The sequence below is a fragment of the Homo sapiens genome, chromosome 22 (assembly GCF_000001405.40).
Source record: "Homo sapiens chromosome 22, GRCh38.p14 Primary Assembly".
NCBI classification, from domain to species: domain Eukaryota; kingdom Metazoa; phylum Chordata; class Mammalia; order Primates; family Hominidae; genus Homo; species Homo sapiens.
In genome coordinates this window covers 35,554,351-35,573,567 of record NC_000022.11, presented here as the reverse complement: position 1 = coordinate 35,573,567, position 19,217 = coordinate 35,554,351, and the positions used below count along the sequence as shown (strand labels likewise).

General features: G+C 49.7%; 1 annotated feature.

The window, feature by feature from the left end:
• Positions 11,347–12,078: an enhancer, noted in NCBI's record as "OCT4-NANOG-H3K27ac-H3K4me1 hESC enhancer chr22:35957537-35958268 (GRCh37/hg19 assembly coordinates)". NCBI's record gives its function as "activates a minimal SCP1, AML or CMV promoter by ChIP-STARR-seq in primed H9 embryonic stem cells {active_cell/tissue: H9 hESC(primed)}" and the evidence as "EXISTENCE:reporter gene assay evidence [ECO:0000049][PMID:30033119]".

Here is a 19,217-nt window from a genome sequence, read left to right as displayed (position 1 = left end):
TGGGTTGGGATGTTTTTAGCTGCCTGTAAGCCAGATAAAAGGTTCTGTTGTTGCAAAAATGCTTTTCTTGGGTATGCTATAAGCATCCGTTAATTTCAGAAATTATCCAGCCTCACTAAGTAGAAATGATGGGTGGCTTTTCGAATTCGAGATGAAGATGGGTTTTTTTTTAAATGTTGTTGATGGTGGTTTATTTATGACAGACTCTTTTCATACCCTGAGTGTAATAGCTTAAATTTCAACGAGTCAGGGACCACTTTTATTTTTTCATCTATGCAGCCCTGGCAGAGTAGGTACCTTATTAGCATTTACTGAAAAGGAGATTTTTCTGAATGGCCACTCAGAAAACTACAATTGTGCAATCATCTGTATTCACGTGTAAGTGGATAGGCAGATAGTAAGTTGAATTAATTAATTAATTAATTGGAGCCCAACAAGGCATGACTTCGAGTTACAAGTAGCCAGGAACCACCAGTTTGAGATCTCTGATTAAGGTAAGGTGGAGAAGTATTTTAAGGGGAAGATCACAAGCTAAGGAAACAGCTGAAAATTTGACAAAAGAAATTCCAAATTTGGGTTCCTATACTCTGTGAATAATGCCAACAGCCCCCTCCAGACTTAAGCTGCAGGCACAGCAAAGCTAGAGGGGCTCGTACTCGTTTTCACCAGGTTATGCTGCATAAGAAACAACCTCAATCTCAGTTTCTTGCAGCAATAAATCTTTATTTCTTCCTCAGGTTGTGTGCCAGTGGCAGGGGGAACTGCTGCCACAAGCTCTAGTGCGGGCTGTGGCCAGAGTCAGGCCTGGTCCACGTGTCTCTCATCCCAGGGCCCAGGGCAGGAGTGCAAGGTGGTAGGAGGAACTTGCAACGCCTCTTAAAGCCTCCACTGGAATCCATCACGTTGTCACACGGGCCCACATTTTGGGGGAAAATAAAGTCACGCAGTCAAGTCAACATCAACTGACAGAGCTGGTGATGAATAGTTGCTAAACAAAGATGCAATTTACTACCAGGATTTAGGGAACTGTGAGTCCAGGGGAGTTCAACCGTTCTCAGAAGGGGCCTTTCCAACCACCTTGGGGCACAGGGGAGGAGGGAAAGAAAGGAGTCCAAATGGACAGGGTTCTAAGATTCCTGCCTTCAACACCACCACCTCCGCTTTATCCATTGGGTTGCCATGTGTGTTTTCACCTCAAAGCTGCTTTAAAAAATGGAAAAAAAAATGACCTGATATTAACACAATTCTCTCATATTACACAGATGAAGATCAAGACCTCAAAAGGAGATAGGCATGAATAGGCCTATGACAGGCCTATCTCATCAGTGGCAGAGCTGGGACATGTACCCAGCAGGAGCACTCTTCCTATGGCACCCCCAGTCAATATATATTCATATAGTCATTCAACAAACATTTGCCACCCAACAACTCGGCACAATTTTGGCAATCATAGCATTCTCCCCCATCCATTCTGTATTTTGACAACCTAATTTGTGCTTGATTCATTTGTTCATTCAACAAATATTTTCTGAGGGCCTCCTATACGTCAGGCCATGCTATAGACACTGGGGTTATTTATTTATTTATTTATTTTTGAGACTGAGTCTCGCTCTGTTGCCCAGGCTGGAGTGCAGTGGCATGATCTCGGCTCACTGCAAACTCCACCTCCTGGGTTCAAGTGATTCTCCTGCCTCAGCCTCTCGGGTAGCTGGGATTACAGATGTGGACCACCATGCCTGGCTAATTTTTGTATTTTTAGTAGAGACAGGGTTTCACCATGTTCACCAAGCTGGTCTCGAACTCCTGACCTCAGATGATCTGCCCGCCTTGGTCTCCCAAAGTGCTGGGATTACAGGCGTGAGCCACCGCATCTGGCCGGCACTGGGCATATAGCAGTGAACAAAACCAGTGTTCTGAGCTTTGAGATTTACATTCTAGGGGAGACACAAATAATAAATAAAATTTTTATTTCATATATATATATAATGCAATAGATGCTATAAAGAAGAAAAGCAGAGAGGGGGAGTAAAGAGTGCCCGAGGGGTTATTTTGGATGGAGTAGCTAAGAAGCCCTCTTTGAATAGACGGGATTTAAGCAGAGATGTGGAGGAAGTGACAGATGAAGCCGCGTGTGTATTTGGAAGAAAAGTCATTGGGGAAAGCAGGTACCAAGGCCCTGTGGCTGCCTGTACCTGTGAGTTGGAGGCACAGCAAGGAGGTCTGGGTTGAGGAGTAGCAGATGAGGCCAGAGATGTGCCGGTGCCTCGGAGGCCTGGGGAAGGATCTTGGGTTTGTTTGGGTGAAGTGGGAAGCCTTTGGAAGGTCTGGCTCCGGGAGAGATATGACCTGCCTTGGGTGGGTGAAGCACCAAGAACAGGGAGACCCAAGAAGCAGGCTGCAACCACGTGCTGGTGGGTGGGTTGCTGGTAGGTCAGAGGGGTTGGGGGCTGCTTTCAGCATGCGGCCAAGACGGTCCTAGCCGGACTCCACTCCACAGAGGGCAGACTCTCGGAGGGGCCGAACACAGCCCTGGGGGTGCCGGCCTGTTGCTGTTCCACTTGCATCTGATGCAGCCAGGGAAGCAGCAGCAAGGCTGAGGCTCAGAGGGGCCGGCACCAGCCAGGAGGCAGGGTAATGCCACTTCCAGGAGCAATGGATAGCGGAACGGTGCAGTCCCTCCAAGGTGGTGCCAAGGCCCTGACAGGTCTCTTTGGCTAGAATCCTGACCCTGGCTGCTGGCTGGGATGCCAGTGCCTCCCAGTGCTGGCCTCCCAGGAACACTGGGATGACGGGCCGCTGACGCTCAGGACCCTGCTGCACGGCCACCAAATTCCTTCTTTCCATTAATCTCCCTGCCCCATTTCTCCCTTGCTAAGTTAAATGGGCCCTTGGAGGGTGGATATTCTTTTCCCTATTTTATTTTTGCCTGTGATGTAAGCTCAGCTGAACCATCCCTTCCCCAGGAGGCCTCGCCAGGGGCCCTCCACTAACAGCCAGCTCCACTGTGCTCCTCATAGCCCTTGCTAGACTTGTGATGGTCCCTTTACCTGCGTGGTTATTTGGCAACTATCCATCTGTCCTACTAAATGATAAGCTCCCCAGGAGCTGTCTTTCATTTTGGGGGTGAGCTGGAGGCTCCCCGTTGTCTTCCAGACTCCAGTTAATCCCAGATACACAGCAGGTCAGTGGATGTGAGTCCCTGCCTTGGGGTATTTCAGGTCCTGCCTCCGGGTTCAGGACCTGATGGGCAGAACAGAGCCAGCTGTCTTGAGATTGGGGGCTGCAGAGCTGAAGACCCCGTTCGTAAGCGTTCCAAGATGCCTAGCCCCTAGCCAGGAGGGATCGGAGTGCGGCAGGTGTGCCTGGCTGCTGTCACCCATCTGCCGCGTGCCTGCTCTCCCTTAGGTGCTCAGTGTTTCAGAGAACTCAGGGCAAAGACACTTCAGAGCAGTTAGTGGCCCCGCAGCGGACCACAAGGAAGTCTGCAACCCATTCTCAGTGCACCCCGCCACAGCTCAGGAGTCTTGGGGGATGACATTTTGGGTTTTTGCTCTGACCTCATCTCAGGTTCAGGGTTTCACCTCCGGCCCTTTGCAGCAGGTAGGTAGAAAGCGCCCAGCTATAGGCCGAAGCTCTTTGTGGAAGAAAAAAAAAGTTTGGCTAATGACCTGCAGTTCTCTGTGAGCCTGGGCCCACCGCCTAAGGAGGAAGAGGAATTGGCAAGAGTGGGAGAATCAAACCTTTTCTGGAAGCACCAAGGTTAAGAGGGATATTAGGGTCCGGTTCAAGCACCTTGGTTTATAATTGGGGAAACTGAGGCATTGGGAAAGAGGAGAGACCAGAACTAGACTATGCAGCTCAGCTGCTCCCAATTCCTGACACACAGAAATGTGTGAAAGAATTAAGGTTTATTGTTGTTTTAAGCCACTAAGTTTTGGGGCAATTTGTGACATAGCAATAGGTGACTAATATAATCACCTACCTTATCCTGCCAAGTTTGGCTTGGAAAGCCTTTGGCTGCTTCTCAAAATCAGAGTGATCCCTAAAGAATGAAGACTTGTGCTCACAGAGGCTTTGAGAAAGGCTGTCATCCAATGTGGATGATCGTATTGTCTCACAGGGAGTTTGGAGTCGATCCTGAGATAATGGGGACGAAACGGGGAGCAGAGAGAGAGATGGACACAGCCAGGGGAGGGGGTGCAAAGAACCCAGATCTGAGAGCAGGGGCCTGGGATGGGCCTGGCCTCTGTTGCTTGCTAGCCACACGTCTCTGATGAGTGACTCAGCTCCCTGGGCCCAGGTTCATCATTTGTCTAATACTCAGCTGACAGTGCTGTTGTGAGGTTGACAGTCTGTTCCCCCAACAGCAGTCAGAAGGATCTAGTTAAATTACAAATCCGATCATGTCATTCCGGTACTTAAAACCTGTTAGTGGCCGTCACAGTGCCCGGATAAGGCGCAAGGCCCCAGCTGGCCAGCACCACAGCTCAGCTGTGTCTCCCTCACCTTTCCTGCAACGCCTCCCACCTTCCCCGCATGCAGCTCTCTCCCACTTGCTAACTGCCCCGCAACCTCCAGATCTCACCTGGAATGGGAAGCCACCTGACCACTTCAGCTGCTCTGTGTGGTTCTTATCATTGCCAGCGTGTTTGTGTGATAAACCATAAATGTCTGCCTCCCCTACGGGTCAGTAAGTGCCATGGGGCGGGGCCCCTCTGTCTCATTCCTGGCTATCGGCACAGCATGGGCACATTGTAAGTGCATAAGTGCTTGTGTGGAATGAATGAATGAATGAGCACACAAAGGGTGCCTAGTACTGTGCAAATATTGTTTGTGTCCACTCCTCCCTCCCCTGATTCCACACAGGCTGCAGGAGCTCCATGGGGTCTCACGACTCAGGCCAAATAAACCTTACAGGCACAAAAGCTGACAGATTTCCATTGTTCTTAACTTTGGTTAAGCATTGAAACTACCTGCAAAGTTTTCCAAAAAGAGATGCCTGGGTCCCACCCTCAGAGATCCTGGTGCACAGATGGAGGGTGCACTGGACATTGGGGTGACTAAAAATCCTCCAGGTCAAGCCTCAGAAACACCGCCCTGGGCAGTGGAGAGACTGGGGGCCTGGCATAGCCCTTCTAGCCTGGGGACTGAGACCGTCTCATGATCTATGACTATTGGGCTGTAAAAAATGAGAGCAATGTGCCGGATTCTGTAGTAAGGACTTCCCTTAATGAACTCAGGTAATCCTCAAAAGAGTCCTATGAAGAGGATAGTATTATTATCCCTATTTCACAGTTGGGGAGACTGAGGCAGGCAGCTATCAAGTCACTTGCCCATAGTTACCCAGGTGGCAGAGCCGGGATTTGAATCCTGGGTGGTCTAACTTCAGGGTACAGCTGCTTATCCACCGCCCTAATTGGTGGAGAGGGACCACGGAGAGGTACCCGCTAACTGCTGTCATCCTAAAGATTGCTTTCCCATCCTCTGAGGGCTCAGTGGGGGCGGGGCTGCCGCCTGTTCAGTGTCCTTTCTGAAAGGACGTGCCTCGAGGGACCAGTGGAGCCAAGATTAGACAGGCTCAGCCCATCCATTTCGGGCTGGGATCCTCAGGACGTTGAAAGCCTTCCCCTGGTGCTGGAGCCCATTGTCAGCCTTAGGAAGAGACGGGTCGCTATGGAAACCTCTGGACTGTACAGACGTACAACCGGCTGGCTTCAAGAAAATCTTTTCATGGGTCTGTCTCTGCTGTGAGGCAGCCAAGGGTCCTCCTGCTAATCGGGCCCCCTGTTTGGACATGATGTCAGGTTAACTCCCAGCGCTCAGCGGCAGCCTGGGTGCACCCTCCCCTTGTCCCACCTGGCACACAGAGACAGCTTTTCCAGCCCTCCCGTGGGAGGGCACATTGGTGGGGGAGGTCTGCTGATGATTGATGTGTGGGGTTGAGTCTTTAATTAAAGTATTCATCATGTGTCAGTCAGCAGAAAAGAAAGTTCAGCTCTCTGCCAGGGTCTGTATCCTGATCATCAACTCAAGAGCCGTTTCCCATGAGGGGGCGCGTGACCTTGTCTAATAGCTGCACTGAGATCTTTTTGAGACTTTTCCAATCTGCTTCTGAGCGCTGCATAGGACAGCATGGTGTCAGTGTGCAGACCTGGCCATGGGACCACACACTCTGACAGTCGGCGCTGGGCTGACCTTTAGCGATCACCAGATCTGTGCTTCTCAACCCTGGCACCCCGTTGGCATCACCTGGGCAGCTTTTTAAAAATATCCACGTCTGGGCCTCACCCCCATCCAATGAAATAAAATCTGAGTGGCATCCTGGCCAGGGTACTTCGTAAAAACTCTGCCTGTGCTTCTGAGGTGCAGCCAGTTCTGAGGACAAATCTAACCCACTCTCTGTACAGATGGGGAAACTGAGGCTTCAGGAGGAGAAGGGATGTGTCCTAGGCATCCAGGTAGCAAGGCACTCGGAGCGTGCGGAATCAGATCTCCATCCCACTGAGCATCCTCAGCTCCAAAGGTGGGATAGGTGAGGAAATGGCTCAGGAAGGGGAGGTGGGTCGCACCAGGGGCCTAGAACCAAAGAGAAAGGGAGGACACAAGATGCTGTCATCACTGTCCCAGCCAGGGGAGTGGGGAGCTGTGCAGGAGAGTCAAACCTCAGCCCCATTACACCTTTTTAAAAACCATGGAAGAGTGATATAACTTTCTTTTTTTCTTTTTTTTTTTTTTTTTAGACGAGTCTTGCTCTGTCACCCAGGCTGGAGTGCAATGGCACAATCTTGGCTCACCGCAACCTCCGCCTCCTGGGTTCAAGCGATTCTCCTGCCTCAGCCTCCTGAGTAGCTGGAATTACAGGCATGCACCACCACACCTGGCTAATTTTTGTATTTTTAGTAGAGATGGGGTTTCACCAAGTTGGCCAGGCTGGTCTCAAACTCATGACCTCGTGATCCGCCCGCCTCAGCCTCTCAAAGTGCTGGGATTACAAGCGTGAGCCACGGTGCCTGGTCTGAGTGACATAATTTTCTAGTAAAAGTATACTCACAGACCAGCAGCATCAGCATCACCTTGGAGCTTGTCAGAAAGAATCTTTTTTTTTTTTTGAGACGGAGTTTTACTCTTGTTGCCCAAGCTGGAGTGCAATGGCACGATCTTGGCTCACTACAGCCTCTGCCTCCCAGGTTCAAGCGATTCTCGTGCCTCAGCCTCCTGAGTAGCTGGGACTACAGGTGCGCACCACCATGCCTGGCTAATATTTTGCATTTTTAGTTGAAACGGTGTTTCACCGTGTTGGCTAAGCTGGTCTCAAACTCCTGACCTCAGGTGATCCGCCCGCCTCCGCCTCCCAGAGTGCTGGGATTCCAGGCATGGGCCCACCGCACCCAGCCAGAAAGAATCTTAAAACTGAAGCTTGTTAGAAAGAAGCTTAAGTCCACCTCAGACCTATTGAATCAGAGTCTGCACTTTAACAAGACCCCAGGGAGATTCATATGCACATTCAAGCACGAGAAGCCCCGTAGCGATGGGCACTGGGAGGAAGCTGCAACATGTGGGTTCTGGTTGTATGACCTTCAGGAGGCCCTCTTCACCTATTGCAGCCACGATTTCTTCATCTGTGTATGGGGATAACTGAACCTCGGTCTATCCACTCCCCATCAAATCTGGAAGGACCAGAGATGGGGAGGGGATTGATTGAGTTCACACAGTGAAAAGATGGCAGAGCTGCAGTTAGCAGCAAGAGCAGGGCGTCCAGCCCTGCATTGCCTCCCTGTGGTGGGGTAGGCGGGTGAGAGGGGGAGGAGAAGTTGGAGGGGTGCTGCAGATATCACAAACACTCCAAGAGGCCTCCAGATTCTTTTGCTATTCCAGTTTGCCTAAGTAGATGCGTTGTTAGAAACCACATCTTCCATCTGGAAACCCCAGGGATTTGGTTTCCATCCCATGTCTTTGCGATCTAAAAAAATAACAAAAGATATCAAAACAAAAGTTTGTGCCAAGGAAGAGAAGTCATTTGAACTAGAGGGAGAAGAATGATGTGTCTACCTTCCTCCTCCTCCTGACTTGTTCTTGGCAGAGTGTGTGGGCAAGCCTGTGCCTGCTGTGCCTCTGTATGCATGCATGTTGTGTGTGCTTATACACATGTGTGTGCAAGCATTTGTATGTCCGTGTGTGTGCATGGCTGTAAATGCATGTGTACGTCTGTGTGTATGGTGTTGTGCATTTGTGTGTATGCATTATATGCGTGTAAGCATGTGTGATGACAGAGGGTAGATATGTGCGTGCATACTATGCATGAATGTGTTCATGCATTGAGCATGTATGGGGGTGCATATATGTACATGTGTACATGTGCATGGCACATGCCTGTGTGTTCATGTGCATTTTTATATACACATGTACCAATGCATGTGTCTGTGTGAGCATGCATGCACGTGGCTTTGTGCACATGATGTGTGCATGTGTGTTAAGTGGTAATGGGACATTAGGTGACTTAAAGCTTGAGTTCAGGAGTGGTAGAGACTGGAAAGCCCAGGAAATCCTTGACATTCAAGAATTTAACATGCAGTTTTGGGTCGTTTCAAATAATCCAAAGGTCCGTGGCTGGTACTAATTTGTAATTTTGCTGGGGCAAAAATGTCAGCGTGGAACTGAGCTAGTGAGTGAGGCCAGCTGATGACCTGGCAATAAACACAGCTTCTTTCTGGAAAATGACCTCAGAAGAACTCCAATTGCTAGTGCTAATAATGGAGAGAAAGATGAAGGTATCTGGGAATGTGTTGGCTTTTAGTCTGAAAAGTAGGAGCAAGGAGTGGATTAAAGAGTGGAGAGTTGAACTTGGCCCTGGCTTGAATCTTTGGTCCAAGTGAGCCCACCATATGCTGCTCTCAGTGGAAACCAGGAAAAGTGATTCCCCACGCAGCTCAAGAGCCTCTGGAGCCAGCAAAGAACAGCTCAAGTGAGATTGGAGGCTTCAGGCCTCCAATGTGTTAATAACTGTGGAAATGGCTTTGGTTCTGTTCTTATAGTCATTAAATGTCCAAGATAGTAGCTTAACATTTCAGTTGCGCTTTGCTCCTTTTAAAGAGGGATAGTTTATGCAGAAGACAGTATTTCCCAGCGTGAGATTCTTAGAGATCTTGTCTTATTTCATGTGAATGTCAAGGGCTCACAGTAATTGTAAGTATCAGAAAAAAATTGGGATACAGGTGCGGTGGCTCACGCCTGTAATCCCAACACTTTGGGAGGCTGAGGTGGGTGGATCACTTGCACCCAGAAGTTTGAGACCAGCCTGGGCTACACGGCAAAACTGCATCTCTACAAATAAAACAAAAATTAACCAGGCGTGGTAGCGCATGCCTATAATCCCAGCTACATGGGGGGCTGAGGCGGGGTGGGAGGGGATCATCTGGGCGCAGGAGGTCGAGACTGCAGTGAGCCATGATTGTGCCACTGCACTCCAGCCTGGGCGACAGAGCAAGACCCTGTCTTGAAAATAATAATAATAAATAATAATAATATTTTAATAGCTCAATGATATTGAAAGCTGATGGTATGTTGGTACCGAGCTAAGGGCTTTTATATTAAGTAAAATTACACTTATATTAAGTAGAATAATATGATTCTTCACTTCTAGGAGTGTTTCCTGGTAAAACTCTATAAATCCTTTAGAGGCAGCTAGAATTGTTACCTCCTCTGAGAAACTTTCCTATTCATGTTAGCAATTACATTCCTTAATTGCAATGTCTGTCTGTTTCCCTCCTGCCCCCCAGATTCCTTGAGAAATTTATTCATCTGCCTCCAGCACCCAGAGCCGCCAGGGCCCAGAGAGAGCTCTGTGTTTGTGGAGTGAATATTAAATGTCCTATGAATTCCACTCCCCGCCTTTCTGGACCAAAGCCTTTGTCTCTGTTCACTTCCTCTCATTTGAGATAAAATTGATTTGGGCTTTTCGAATTCAAGTTTAATTTCTCATAAAAACACTAGAGAGCTGAGAACGTCCTCTCTTGGGGCCCAAGCTCTGTCTCCAACAGGCAACACACCGGGAAGCCAAGAGCCTAGGACGGCAGGACAAAGGCTTCCCCGCAGCCCAGGCTCAGCTCAGTCCACTGCAGTCTCCTCTCCCAGCCTTCTCCTTGCAGATCATCATCTCTCCTGATGGTCACACCCGTCTGCCTGCGCCTGGGTCCCAGCACTTCCTCTGTCTCCAGAGTCCCCTCTCCAGCAATCACCCCTTCCTTCTCCCCAAAGCATCCTCCTCCTTCTCTTCCGGATCTTTCTCATCAGCATTTCAGTGAGTTGAAGTCTCTCCCTCTTAAAGAATGATGATAATACTAACAGCCACCCTTCTAGAACACCTCATTCCCTTCTATTTTGCCTCATGTTCCTCTTTCAGTTTTACAATTATGCTTATTGAAATTTCCTGGGTTTTTTTGTTTGTTTGTTTTTGTTTTTTGAGACAGAGTCTTGCTCTGTCATCCAGGCTGGAGTGCAGTGCCTTGATCTGGGCTCACTGCAACCTCTGCCTCCTGGGTTCAAGCGATTCTCATGCCTCAGACTCCCAAGTAGCTGGGATTATAGGTGTGTGCCACCACATCTGGCTAATTTTTGTATTTTTAGTGGAAATGGGGTTTCACCATGTTGGCCAGGCTGGTCTCGAACTCCTGGCCTCAAGTGTTCCACCCGCCTCGGCCTCCCAAAGTGCTGGGATTACAGGTGTGTGCCACTGCATCTGGCCCTTATTGAAATTTGTTTGTTTGTTTGTTTGTTTGTTTGTTTTTGAGACAGAGTTTTGCTCTCGTTGCCCAGGCTGGAGTGCAATGGTGCGATCTTGGCTCACCACAACCTCCGCCTCCCGGGTTCAAGAGATTCCTCTGCCTCAGCCTCCTGAGTAGCTGGGATTATAGGCATGGACCACCACGCCTGGCTAATTTTGTATATTTCGTAGAGACAGGGTTTCTCCAGGTTGGTCAGGCTGGTCTCGAACTCCTGACCTCAGGTGATTCACCTGCCTCAGCCTCCCAAAGTGCTGGGATTACAGGTGTGAGCGACCATGCCCGGCCTGAAATTTTTTTTTAAAGAAAGAAAAGAATGCTCTTGGAATTTGTTCACCACCCCCTCCTCTTCCCATGCAACATAGCCTGTCTCCACAGCCTGGGCTCCAAGCCTCCAGTGACCTTCCCGTCACGGGCCTAGTCGACACCCTTCAACCTGCTTCTTGGCAGCTTTTGATATCGGAGACCATTTATTTCTTCTCAAACCTTCCCCTACCCTCGGCTTCCATGACCCCACCAACTTGTCTTCTGTCCGTCTCTCCTTTCTTCCTCCATCCCTCCCCCCTCTGCCTTTCCCTAAGTCACGGCGTTCCTCCTGGTCCTCCTCTCGCTGTATGGCCTAGTGGCCACCCTCTCCATGGCTGATGGAACCCCAGATTTTCACTCTGGTCAGCCTTCTCTCCTCAGCTTCAGACCCTTACAGCCAGGCTCCTGTCAGGCAATTGCACTTGAAGGGCCCCTGGGAGCCTCAAATGCCACATAACACAGATGTGACTCATCTCCTTGATGCTCACCGCAGGAGGCCTTCCGATGTGCACTCTCTCCTCTTGGAGCCCCAGTTGAGTGGGCGGCATCACCATCCACCGGCTTCGCACATGGCAATCCCGAGCCCCACCTTTGCCTCCCCACCCAATGCGACGCCCTCCACCTGGGAGATTCCAGCTCTTCTGTCTCCCACCTCAAACCCGACCCCTCATCATCCTCATGTTGGCTCTCCAGAGAGACTCATGCCATCGGCTCCCACCTGGATAACTGAAACCCCCTCTCCCGGCCTCCTTTCAAACACCCTTCCAACCCACTCACTGCAGCCAGAGGGGGCTTCCAAAAGGTGTATCTGATATGCCTCTCCCTTCATTCATCCATCCAACTCCTGATATATTTATCTAAGACCTACTGTCTGCCAGGCACTACGCTATGCTGGGAGAAGTGTGTCTTAGTCTCCTGTCATTCACATTTTAGCAGAAGAAACATATCATAAACACATTATAAGAAGTCAAGTGATGAGCCAGGCACAATGGCTCACGCCTGTAATCCCAACACTTTGAGAGGCCAAGGCGGGTGGATCACCTGAGGTCAGGAGTTCGAGACCAGCCTGGCCAACATAGTGAGACTCCGTCTCTATTAAAAATAAAAGAATTAGCTGGACATGGAGGCACACGCCTGTAATCCCAGCTACTCGGGAAGCGAGGCTGGAGAATCACTTGAACCCGGGAGATGGAGGTTGCAGTGAGCTAATGTTGTGCTGTTGTACTCCAGCTTGGACCACAAGAGCGAAAAAAAAAAAAACAAAACCAAAACCGTCAAATGATGATCAATACTTTGAGGAAAGAGAAGGCAGGGAGAAGGGGGGAGAGGGATGGATTAGGGAGTAATTTTAGGTTGAGAGGTCAGGGGATGCTTCTCTGAGTAGGTGACATTGAGCTGAGATAGGAATGAAGTGAGCAAGTAAGCCAGCATGGTCCCAAAAGGAAGCACTGTCCAGGCAGAGAACAGCATGTGCAAAAGTCCTGTGGCAGCTGGATATCTCCAGTATTTCCAGGACCAGTAGGCATTTGCCCTCTGTGCTCCAGCTACATTGAACTTCCAGTAGGCACTGTCTTGCCTCTAGTCCCTTGCCCACTCCATTCAGAAACATCCTCCCTCATTCTTCTGGTTAGCCTTTATTTATCTGTTATATTCAACTCCAGCATCATCTCCCCACCCAGGGAGGTCAGTCCAGAACCTCACCCTGGCTCGGTTAGAGGCTCCTCCTCGAGCTTTCACAGCACCTATTATAGCACAGACAGATTATATTGCAATGGACAGTTCAGGGGCTGCTTTTGGTTCTTCGTGGAGCAGAGACTGTCTGAATCATTTCTGTGTCCTGAGACTCTGACAATGAAGAAGGCTTTGGTGAATGTTCTGATTATGTTGCTGCTTAACCACCCCAAATTTAGTAGCATAAAACAACCACTTTATCCTGCTGTCAGATTCTGTGGTCAGGGATTTGGCCCACGCACATCAGGAATGGCTAATCTCTGCTCTGCTCTGTCTAGAGGATGCCCATGGCTGGGGCTGGAGGCTCCTGCACCACCGTGCCTGGCCTTCGGGCTGGATGCAGCTGGGACTGTGTCCTGAGCACCCCCACATGGCCTCTCCTCATGAAATGGGCTTCTCACAGCACAGCAGCTGGGTTCTTAGCAGGAGCATCCTGACAGTGACAGAACACCCTAAGAAAACCAGGCAGAGCTGTGTGACCTTTTCTGACCTGGCCCTAGAAGTCACAGAGCATTACTCCAGTGCACACCATTGGTCAAAGCAATCAGCATCTTGCCCTGATCAAGGGGAGGGGCATAGACTCCACCTCTTGATGGGAGGCACGCCAAAGAATGTAGGGGCTGTGTCTTAAAACCCGATATTGAACATGTGTCAAATGATCCTGATGACCGACGTCTGTACCCCATGTGACAAATCGCCAAGTGCTTTGGTGTCCACCTTGTGTGGTCCTCACTGAGAGTCCAGGATGAAGAAATGGAAGAGTCCATGCTGACCAGGGTGGGGGCCCCAGTGGGAATGCTGCTCACCCCCAGGTGCACCTGCAAGGAGCCTCAGTGACACAGAAATCATTATGGCTGGTGCTTATGATGTGCCAGGCACCATTCTAAATGTTTCACAAGTAATAAGTCATTTAGTTCTCATAACCATCCAGTGAGGTGGTGTGATTATTCCTATTTTACAAATGAGGACGCTGAGTCATGGAGAAGATACGGAGGAGCCACAGCCAGAACTAGGGTGAGGCAAGGGAGGCAATTACCTTAAGCACAATACTTCAGATGCCCCCTCACCCACAAAAACCCCCAGGAATCAAGGTGAATAATATTTTCATGTTTTTTATATATATATATATAATGCTACTGTTAATATTTATATATAATTATAATTTTTATTATATATTGTATTATATTTATATTAATTTATATTATAATTATAATTCTATTTATATATTATTGTAATTATTATTATTATTTATATATTATCATTATAAATTAATGATATTTAGTGCTATCATTAATATAGATAGATAGATAGATAGATAGATAGATAGATACAATTTTTTGAGACAGGGTCTCACTCTGTTGCCCAGGCTGGAGTGCAGTGGCATGACCATAGCTCACTGCAGCCTCAACCTCCTGAGTTCAAGTGATTCCCCCATCTCAGCCTCCCAAGTAGCTGGGACCACAGGCATGTGCCACCACACTTGGCTAAATTTTTGTGATTTTTGCAGAGATGGGGTTTCTCCATGTTGCCTAGGCTGGTCTTGAACCCCTGGCCTCAAGCCATCCTCCTGCCTTGGCCTCCCAAAGTGCTGGGTTTACAGGTGGGAGCCACGGTTCACAGACTTATGTAATATTTTTAAAATAAAAATTAATGCAAAAAATCCATAAGGAACAAAATGTCAAAAATTTAAATAAAGACAAGATCAGTATTGAGGTGATATTCAGCCCAGTCCACTCAAACTGCAATTGACCTAGGGACCTGTAAACCTAAGAAGAAATGCTTGTTGTTGAGAACTACTGAATTTTGGGGTGGTTTGTTACACAGCACTATTGCAGCAATAGCTGACCAATACAAAAAGTCATTTGCCTTTTAGCAGATGAGCAAATGGCAGACGTGAGATTTGAACTCAGGCAGCCTCAGACCAGAGACTACGTTATGAACAAGCCAAATGCTCTGCCTCTCTTACTGAGGGGCGCATTAAGGTGTGCACCCAGGATACCTGGGTTGGTTCAATCCTGAACTCTCTAACTCACTTTCCTGCTCAGGGTTCCTCTTCCTAGATGAGGTAGGGGTCCCTCTGTGAGTGCCATTCCCCAGACCCCTTTATCTGGTGGATGACCCTGGCTTCTTCATTTTGGCTGACACTTTAAGAAGGCTGACCTCAGATTCCAAAGTAAGGTATCAAACCAAGAGCAAAATTTTCAAAGCATTTGGCCAAGAACCAGCTCCTTGACTCTTGTACTTCTCAAGATATACAATAGTCAGCAGGAAGAAGATTTCCTGGGAAAGAGAATCACTGTTGAGCACTACAGTATGCTGTGACAGGGACTGCCCTTAGCTCAAGCCTAGAGAGCTGGACATGTGTCCCTGGGCAGAGTGGCTCTGTGGGCCACTGTCCTCTGCCTGATAAATCTCACATGTGACAGACTGGCTGGGTTAGATGCTAAAGATCCCAGTAAACTCAGAGCAACTTACACTCTTAGAGTTGATTGGGGTAGAGGGTGTGAGTTTCATATGCGCCAGATGTGGGCTGACCACAAGAGGAAGCTGGCATGGGGGTGCCTCAGGCCCTGTCCGATAGAACACCCCAAAGGGGCAAAAAGCCTCTGCACAGAGAATCAAAAGGCGTCAGAAGATTCCTTGGGGCTGCGGAGGGACTAAGCAACCAACCCAGGTTTCTTCTGTCTTCCGGTTCCTTCATCTCTAGGACCTTGTCACCATCTGCCTAGTTGAAGCCACTGCCACATTCAGGTTCAGCCGAAGGGATAGGGGAAGAGAGTGTGGAAGAGGTACACCCGGAAGATAGAGATGCATAGAAGCCTCTGCAGATAACAGGTTCCTAGTGATGGCAGGGAACAATCTCCAAAATAACCCCTGAGATTTTAATGGTATCATTAAACATTGGCCATGCTTGGAACGTGACACCATCTTCCCAAAGTGCCGTAGTAACTAGGCAAGGAAGAACTCCCTGCTCTTCTCCCTCCACCCCCTTCTCAGCCTCTTCTCCCTCCACCCCCAAACCCACCTCCCAAGAATGGAGAAGAGAGGAACCAGAAGTAGCTAAAGAGAGAGAAGGCAAGTGAGAAAAGTGAAGTATCCACCCTTCTCTTCCCAAGTCTCCAGCTTTTTATGTGCAATAGACCACCGCTGGGCGAGGGAGGGAAACTCTTTTGAATGAAGACTGGAAACTGATGATCACACTGGCCAAGGAATTTTAGTTGAGACTCTACTTACTACTTAAAATGTCTGTGGTATATTCTGTTTTCCAAGAGAGATGAGAAAAATCATGGGATAGTCTAAGTTTTCATCTGGGGATGGGGGTTGGATGTGAATAAGTTCTCAGAGCCAATTATTTTTATTTATTTATTTATTTATTTTTGAGACAGAGTTTCGCTGTTGTTGCCCAGGCTGGAGTGCAATGGTGTGATCTCGGCTCACTGCAACCTCCGTCTCCCGGGTTCAAGCTATTCTCCTGCCTCAGCCTCCCGAGTAGTTGGGATTACAGGCATGCGCCACCATGGTTGGTTAATTTTGTATTTTTAGTAGAGACGAGGTTTCTCCATGTTGGTCGGGCTGGGCTCGAACTCCCGACCTCAGGTGATCCGCCCGCCTCAGCCTCCCAAAGTGCTGGGATTACAGGCGTGAGCCACCTCACCCGGCCTGCTCAGAGCCAATTTAAAGCAGCCTTGGGAGCCTAGAGCTGCTTTCTGATTTCATCTGCTAAGTGGAGCTTGTTTGAAGTCAGACTGCCCGTGGTGTCCCGAGGCTGGCCCACTGCATTAGGGTGGCTGTTTGGAGACAACAGGCTGGCCAACCAGATCTCTCCTCCTCCTTTCCACAGTGGAGTCACCGCTGGGCATGGGGCCACCTAGCAAAGGACTGCATCTCTCAGGCCTTCTCATAGGTAGGTACAGTCACATGGCTGGGCTCTTGCCATTGCTAGAAAGTGGAAGTGATGAGTCCATGGCTCTGAAAACAGCAGGTGTACCTCTTCCACACTCTCTTCCCCTATCCCTTCGGCTGAACCTGAATGTTACAGTGGCTTCAACCGTGCAGATGGTGACAAGGTCCTAGAGATGGAAGAACCTGAAGACGGAAGAAACCTGGGTGCCTGAGTGACCAGGTGGAGCAGAGTGACTTTGCCATGAAAAAGAAGTTGGGTTCCTCTCTTGTGACAGCAGCTCAGCCTTTTATTGTGAACGGAAGAGCACCCCATTTTCTGAGTTCCCTGAACCACGTCCAGACACTGCACCCCAACTCACTGGACTCTCCCACTAGAGAGCAACCTCTCAGCTGGCTCAGTTATAAAAGCCCTGGAGACAAAAATGTGCTTTGGAATCAGACATGGTTTCTCATCCAGCTCTGCTCCTTCCTGGCTGTGCAACTTTGGACAAGTGACTTTACCTCTCTGAACTCCATTCTCTCTTATCCAAAAAAGGATTCCAGCTAGCTCTGCCATGAGGATTCAATGACAGGACGCAGGTAAAAGGCTCAGCACAGTGCTTGGCACAGAGTAAGGTCTTCGCAAAGGTCAGCTCCTTTTCCCTTCCCCCATTCCCGGCAGCCTTCACTGCCGAGCCCCTGGCAGGCCTCCCATCAGCCCCCACCAAACCGTGATGCAGACTGAAGTTTTTCTTTCGAGTAAGTGACAGGTTCAGGGAGGTGGAACAGAACAAGTACTTAGAGTTCACAGCGCAGAATTCTTTGAAATCATGTTCCCAATGCTCCCTTCCTAGGGTCGGGGGATTAGCCGGCTATCCTGGGCTTGGCTCTAAATGGTCTCACCATGAAGGGAATTTTCCTACAATCTTATCCTACCCACTGTCCCAGGGCTAAGAAGACATGTGTCTTTCTCCTCTGTGGCAGCCTGTTGCTGTCAACCCCATTCCAGGGCAAGGACTGTGGGATGCAGGGAACAAAGAGTGGGGCTAGAGCTGGGGCTGGGGCGAGCGTGTTCTGTTTGGTGATGATTGGAATGTTGTGAGTTATGCAATAGGAATATTAATTCCTTCTAGTAGAGACCATCAGGGCTGCGAGAGGCTGTTGGTGTGTATCTGGTCCGGATGCCTTCCTCCCGCCTCCCATTTACTCATGAAGAAAAGGAGGCCTGCGAGGGGACGAGACTTATTTCCAGACCCACATAGAGAAAGGGAGTGGCAGCAGCAGGCTGGGCTCCAGCGGGACACCGTGGAGGCCTGTCTCTGTGCACCAGCGCCCTTGTTATGGTTCAGCGCTGATGGCGATGCAGAAGGGAGTGTTCGCCTCCATGCTTTGTGTGTATGAAAACCAGGATCTAGAAAGTGTCCGAGGGACATGCCTCCCACACTGACCTTCTGTGGCTGGGGTGGGCAAAGGATTGGAGGGGAGCTGGGCTGCTAGATTATCAGAAGCTGGGAGACAGGCCCCAGGTAGGCAGAGGTTAGGAGCCGAGCCCCCAGGTAGGCAGGGACTAGAAGCAGGGTCCCCCAGGTAGGCAGAGGCTGAAAGCAGGGCCCCCAGATATGCAGAGGCTGGGAGCGGGCCCCCAGATATGCACAGGCTGGGAGCGGGGCCCCCAGGTAGGTAGAGGCTGGGAGTTCTCCAGCTCCCCACACTATGGACTTGTGTGGTCTCGCCTCCACCACAGCCTGGCTCTGTTTTGTGAATGTCTGTGCAGAGGTTGTGGCTTCCCAATGGACAATGTGGTTCCCAATGAACCTTACACTGCCTGTCTCTCGACCTCCTTTATGGCCTAGCTCCCTGATCCTGCTGGTGGCATTTGCTGATCAAAAGCACAGATGGTTTCCACCTCCCTGATGCAAAATCTTTCTTCAGCCAGACGGAAATCAGACAGCCTCTGGTGTTGAATCTCTGATCTGCCACTTCACCAGCTGTGCCATCTTGGACAAGATATTGAGCTCTCTGAGCCTAAATGCTCAGATGGGGTGAACATGAGTGGGCTTCCCTCGGGGCTGGGTGATAGGATGGCGTGAGACTCGCTGGGTAAAACACACAGGGAGTATTTTACCTCACTGACTTCCTCCTTTCCCTCTGCCCAGGGAAGCCTCTCAGTCCCAGGGGGCACATTCCGTGTTGGTCAGGGCCCAGACCTTCTCCCTCAGCCTCCACTTTCCATCCTCACCCACATCCTGTCTCACTTCACAGGAGTGCTCATGCTGTGGGTTCCGTCCAGAATGTGGTCCAACAAATCCATCACACGCAGGTGGGGGCGTGTCCCAGCCCCTGGGGTGAGTCTAAGTAAGGCTGCCCACGCTTGGCATTTGAGGCCAGATAATTCTCAGTGGGGTGGGGGTGGAGGGGCATCCTGTGCGTTGGAGGATACTGAATGGTGTCCCTGGCCTCCACCCACCAGATGAGAGTAGCAGCCCCAGCCCCAGGCTTGGAAAAGGTTTCCAGAGATTG